Raw genomic sequence first — 7,220 nt, forward strand, 5'->3', positions numbered from 1 at the left:
TATTTAACTTCTTTCTTTTCAAATAGGATGCATTTATTTTTTTCTTTTGCCATACTGCTCTGGCTAGGACTTCCAGTACTCTGTTGAACAGGAGTGGTGAGAATGGGCATCCTTGTCTGTTTCAGATCTTAGAGGAAAAGCTTTCAGCTTTTCCCCATAGAATATAGTGGTAGCTGTGGATTTGTCATGCATAGTCTTCATTGTGTTGAGGAACATTTGTTGTATGCTTAATTTGTTGAGAGTTTTTGTATAAAAGCATGCTGAATGTTTATAAATGCTTTTTCTAGATCTGTTGAACTAATCATATAGTTTTGGTCCTTCCTTCTGTTAATGCAGTATATCACACTTACTGATGTGCATATGCTGTACCATATTTACATCTCTGGAATAAATGCCACTTGGTCATGGTGAGTGACCTGTTTAATATGCTGTTGAATTATCTTTGCTAGCTTTTGTTGAGATCCTTTGCATCTACATGCATCAGGAATATTGGCCTGGAGTTGTCTTATTTTTAGCATCCTTGCCTGACATTGCTATCAAGGTAATGATGGTCTCATAAAATGAGTCTGGAAGTATTCTCACATCTTAAATGGCCTGGAAGAGTTTGAGAATAATTGGTATTCATTCTTCAGAATTTTTATAGAACTCAGCAGTGAAGCTATCAGGGCCTGGGTTTATCTTTGATGGAGAACTTCTTATTATTGTTTCAACAATCCTTACTTGTTATTGGTCTGCTCAGGTGTTCTAATTCTTTGTAATTCAATCTTGGTAGATTGTATGTCAAGGAAGTTACTCATTTCTTCTAAGTTACCCAATTTTTTGGTGTATGACTATTCATAAAAATCTCTTATGATCCTTTATATTTCTGTTGTATAAGTTATAATATTTCCTTTCTTATTTCTTATTTTATTTGTATCTTCTCTCTTATTTCCTTAGGTAAGCTAGCTAATGGTTTGTCAATCTGGTTATCTTTTCAAAATAAAAACCTCTTGTTTATCTTTTCTATTGTTTTTCAAGTCCCTATTTCATTTATTTCTCATCTGACCTTTATTTCCTTCCTTCTCCTAACTGTGGGCTTAATTTCTTTTTGTATTTTTCTAGTTCTTTGAGGTATAACATTAGGTTGCTTATTTGAGAATTTTCTTTTTTTGTTTTTTGATGTAGGTGTTCATTGCTATAAGCTTTACATTTAGAGCTGATTTTCCTATGCCCTCTATGTTTTCATATGTTGTGTTTCTTTTCACATTCATTTTAAATTTACCTTTTAATTTTTCTTTTAATATTTTCATTGACCTATTGATTATTGAATTTTTATTTTTACTTGATTTGAGTATGCCACAGGACTTTAGAAAAAAAAATTAGCACCCCAAATCTTCACAAAATAATCTTACTCTTAATTATTGTAATGCACTATTTTCTATTTGATACCTGTATTTTAACTAAAATTTCTGATAATGATCCACAAAATTGATTCCACGCCTATTAATATCTTATAACCCACACATTGTAAAGCAGTGTTTTAGAAAAACTGTGCTTTATAGTGGGGGCTAGAATATGGAAGTCTGTCTTGGAAAGAACACATCAAGAAAGAGAAGAGCAGTAAATCTCTGGTATTTAGAGATCAAGTGTAATGACATAGAGGCTCATTGTAATGAGCACAGGGGTAAAAAGGTTATTGGTGTCTACAATAATGGGAACCCATTTGCTTTAGGACCAGGCTCAACAAAGCAAAAGGACATTATGAGAAATGAACATGGAAGCTCTGCGCCAGTGCAGAAGCAGTTCTGATAATGACTGAGAATCTGGGGATTTTTCCTTGGCTTTTCAGGCACTCCTACAGAATTTAATTGTTGAGAAGGCTACTGGGTAAACTCTAGACTTTTGCCACTCATATTGCTGGAAGCATTTTGGGAATTGAACTATAAATTTACTGTATGTTACTGTACTACACTATATTATACCATACTAAATACTTAATACCTTAACATACCCGTAGAGAAGGAAGAAAGTTTGCTGAATAAATAAATAAATATTTAAACACCACACACACACAAACCTGAACATTTAAAAAAGTTTATTTACCAATAAAAGTAAACATTTCACATATAATGATGTATTATTCAGTATTGTAGTAATGTATAAATATGTAGTAAATATACATAGTGAATATACAATGTAGTTACGCAAATGCTCTTGTTTCTTATTCATTCTTTTTCTAGTTTTTTCATGTTAATACAGTGATATCATGCATTTCCTTTGAGATAAAATTTTGTGTTTTTACTCTGAGAAAATCTAACAATTTCTAGGCCAATTGAAAATCAGGTTTAGACCATTTTCCTGTTTTGTTTTGTTTCCCATTAAACGTGGTTTTATCACTTAATTGAATGATGTGTTTCATTGACTTATTCATATAATTAAGGTCAATTTGTGTAGCACTTATAGCACTTATACGTAATTGGGTACCATAAGAATAATGTAAGTGAAGAGAAAGGAAGGAAGGAAGAGAAGGAGAGAGGGAGGGAGGAAGGAAAGGAAGAAGAAAGGGAGGACTTGGCACAGGGATAATTACAAAGCAACATATATTTGTTGGACTCTAATTGCAATCTCAGCACAGATATTAGTTCTTTGAGTCTGACCGTTGACCTGATTACTGTCATTGTATTAACTGATAGTTAAGACACATGTGTTTTGTTGTATCATGTGATTGTTAGCTTCAATGAGTTAAAAAAAGTAAGGTAATTTTGAAATTAGGTGATATTTTATATCAGTCATTATTGGGATGATTATAAAGACTGCATAACTATTGATTCTCTTCATTAATTCTGATTCTAAGTAAAATTACCACAATTAACATCTTTTCTTACATGAAACACAAGGCATGTTCTATTGTTTCCTGTTTCTTAGCATGGTTCAGACCTAAAAATAGTAAGACAAAATAATGGATAAAACAAACAAACCATAAGCTTTTTGATTTAAAATAAACAATCCTGGCAATTTAAATTGGATGTCTTACCTTCTATATAGGTTCCCATTTATAAGAAAGCATAAGGTATTTGCAATCATATTGTAAATACTGTTTAAAACATCTGTTTACATTTCTAATATTGGAATGTTTATGGGACACTCGAGGTAAACTTTCAATACCCTCTATTTTACTTTTACATGTAGTTATACTACTATGTTTCTTAAAGTTAGCTAATGAAATTTGCAACCTACTGGTATTAGTAAGTTTTCAACATGCTTTTTAGCTATATGGGGCCCAAAATGGGGAGAGAGATGTGCTAATTCAGGTGGAATAACCTGATTATTATAGGGTTAAGAGTGGAACAGCAAGCACTTGCTTTCAGCAGCTTTGTGTAGTATTTACAGAATTTGAAAGTGTGGTTTTCTTTCTCACTCCTGCTCCTCCTTTCTTTATTTAAGAAAATTTTTTTGTCTTCTTTTTCACTAAAATTAAATTAGTTCTAAGATAACTACTCACCAAAATTTAGATTTAATTACTAGCAATGTGTCTAATCATGCATATATGTATAACATCTCTGATGTTCAAATGACTACCTCAGCAGCAAGGAAATAAAATTACTTCTTTTATTTTGGTTATATCAATCAATAAAGTCCAGATTCTGATGAGAAGTTAATTACAAATTTTATAAAACAAAACTTTTGAACATTAATAATTCTTTATAAGCCACAAACAAGGCAGACTCATACACCTGTGAAGTTTTATCAAGCAATGATTGCTGAAAACCTTTTTACCCCACAGAAAGAATGTCTAGAATAGCTCCAAACAAAATTTTAAAATAATCAGTGTTCAAATCCGGATATAAGTAGATTAACTCCAGGTTTGTTTTCATTTCTCAACAATCTGAAAGTGCTCTAGTATTCTCGATAACATAAAATGGCCAGTAACTTCATAGTTATTTATCAGTTGATTAAGGTGAGTTATAAAGTGAAAGTCTCCTTTTTTCACTGCCATTATAAACTGCTCAGTGAAGTTGAATGATAATGAACTATAAAAATAAAAACAAATACAAATGATCTGCACTGATTAAAAAAAAGAACTGAGGAACTAAAACCAAGATGTAAGCTAATACAAAAGTCTTTTATATTTGGATAAGTAAAATCTTGTCCTTGGGAAGCTAATGTGCTGTCCCAGAAAAGACACCTGATGTCTGTGATACTGGTAGTGATTTTTAAACCTCAAAATATCGCTGCCTCTGGGCAGAAATGTCAGTTTCCTTTATAATCTATAGTTTGAAATTAATGACTCATTTTCTATTTTTATTTTCTGCTACTGATGTCTTAGAGTAGCTTTTTGCTGTGGTAAACAATGAAATAAAGGTCATTGACAAGAAGTTTCAAATTATGGATCTAGCTATTGTTCCATTTGAATTTTTCATACACCTATTTTTTAATTTTTTTAAAGTTTTATTTTACTTTTAATTGACAAACAATAATTATAAATTTATGGGGTACAGTGATAGTTCAATGCATGTATACATTGTGGAATGATCAAATCAGGCCAATTAACATAAAAATTGCTTCAGTTGCTACTTGTGTACGGTGAAAATGTTTAAAATCTACTTTTTAAAGCTATTTTGAAATGTGCAGTACATTATTACTAACTATAATTACCGTGCTGCGCAACAGACCACCAGAACTTATCCTTCTGTCTAACTGAAACTTTGTACCCTTTGACCAATGTATCTCCTCTCCCTATTCACCTCCCTGATCCCTCCCTATCCTCCTATGAGTTTGAATTTTTATATTTCGCATATAAGTAAGAGATCATTCAATATTTGTCTTCTTGTATCTGGCATATTTCATATAAACTGAAGGCATAATGTCCTTCAGTTTCATCCACATTACAAACGATGGAATTTCCTGCTTTTTAAAAAGGCTGAGTAGTATTCTGTAAATACCTCAAATTTTAATGTGTAATATGTGATATAATATATAGTGTAAGAAATACATATGACAGTTGTGAAACATTGTACAATGAACACTTTAAAGCACCACCACAGTTAAAAATAGATATCTCCACACTTAGAAGCTGCTTCAGTGATTCTATTATTTCAGCTTCCTTCTTTTCTCATGAATTCAGTTTCTAACATTTTCTTCTATTTTGAAAATTTCAATTTGATATAATTCGAACTTATAGAAAATTTCAAGAATTCCTTACATGGAATGCTTATATATCCTTCACTCTGATTCACCCTTTGTTTATATTTTCTCTGTTTTCCTTTATCAGACTATCTTTATATATTTACATATACATGCATATTATTGTAATCCATTTGCAAATAATTTAAAGATATGTGTACTCTTTAACCCTAAATAGTGTCTATTTCTTAAGAGTAAGAACATTCTCTTGTGTACTCTACTAAGCGGTTATGAAAATCAGAAAGCAATGTTGAAACAATATTACCATCTAATTCACAGTCTTTTTTCAAACGTCATCAAATATCTTCAATGTTCCTTATGGTAATTTTCTTCCCCAATAAGGGATTGAATTCAAGATCGTTTTTTATATTTCATTGTTTGGTTTACTTTATCTAGATCAATTCCATAGCCTTGCATTGTGAGTTTTTTGAAGTACAGGCCAATTATTTTGTAGAAATATCTTTCCATTTAAATTTTTTGATGTTTCCTCATGATTTGATTAGGTAATGTCATACATTTTTGCACAAAAGTAACATTGTGTCTAAGTTCATTATATCAAGAGGCATATAATAGCAGTTTATCCCATTATTACATTTAAACATTTGTTAATGGTTGTGCCTACCAGGATTTCTGACTCTACCATTACTAATTATCTTTTTGTTAACAAATAATTTGTTGGAAGGTACTGAGAGAGTCTTAAATTCTGTTTCTTACTACAATTTCACAGCATCCATTGATATTTTTATAACTCCTTCAAATCTTTTGTGTTTATTATTTACCATTTTACAAGGAAGAATTTTATCTTCATTTATTTATTGTTCATTAACTCATTGATTTATGCAAGTGATGTTATGGATTCTCACTTTATTCAATGATAATCACAAAATGTTGCTATTTGTTTTCATGATAAAATTCTCAACCAGCAGGAGCCATTTCAAACTACCTCCTGTGCTTTATCACCAGGTACCCTAATTCTTTGAGGACTGTCTTGCTTTCTGAAACAAAATATTTTAGGCTTATTTTTGACATTTTGTGACTCTGAAATCAGTATTTCCTTCAAGATCTCTGGCTTTTTTCAATGGAGGTTGTTATTTAGAAACTGAAGTCTGAGTGTTAAATATGCTCATTGTCGCTGATGTGACATTGCTTCTAGTCTCTCATAGAAGACAGGACTTTTTCCTCTCTCCCTTTTTCTGCCTTTTCCCATGCACCACTTGTTTTTACTGATACTCCCATTTCCAACTCAAAGCCACAAAATGCATTCTCAACTTTCCCCACTGAATATTTATAATTTTCTTCCCTGTTAGAAAGAAACTACAAGTCCCTTTTGTCAATACATTCACTCCTTTGCTCAATCTAGGATACAGGAGATAGTTTCATAATTTCTAGCCCATATTACTATGAAAAACAAATACATAAGCTAGTTTAAAATATTTACTGATTTTTTTAAGGTAAATTTTACATAGAAATAAAAATACTAAGCTCACAATCAATAACTTTTGACAAATGAATACATACATGTAATCTACATTTCTTTTAAGATACAGAACATTTACGTCACCCCAGGAAGTTTCTTCATTGCTTTTATCTGTCAGTTTCCCCACAAAGTAAACTAAGCTTGTTTTTCCTAGGAAGAATAGTTTTTCCCATTCTGAATTTTCATATAAATGGAAACATAAATTTCTTATAAATGTGCTCATTTGTCTGATTTTTTTTATTGTGAGATTCATCCAAGTTTTATATGTATCAGTAGTTTAGTTCATTTTATTGTTAAGTATGTATCTATCGACGTTATCAAATTTCCTGTTGATGGGCATTTGAGTGGCTTCCAGTTTGAGTCTCTTAGACATACAGCTGCTATGTGCATTCTTAGTACTAGTCTTTGTGTGAATATAGATTTCCATTTGACAATAGTGATTCTTATAAATAAAAGTGCTGGATCATATGGTAGGTGTCTGTTTAAATTTGTAGGAAACTGAGAGCCACTTTCAATATGCAATGTCCCCATTCTTATCAGCAATACTGGGATAGTTCTGGTCATTATATACCCTCACCAA

This window comes from Homo sapiens, chromosome 13 (assembly GCF_000001405.40).
Source record: "Homo sapiens chromosome 13, GRCh38.p14 Primary Assembly".
Taxonomy (NCBI): domain Eukaryota; kingdom Metazoa; phylum Chordata; class Mammalia; order Primates; family Hominidae; genus Homo; species Homo sapiens.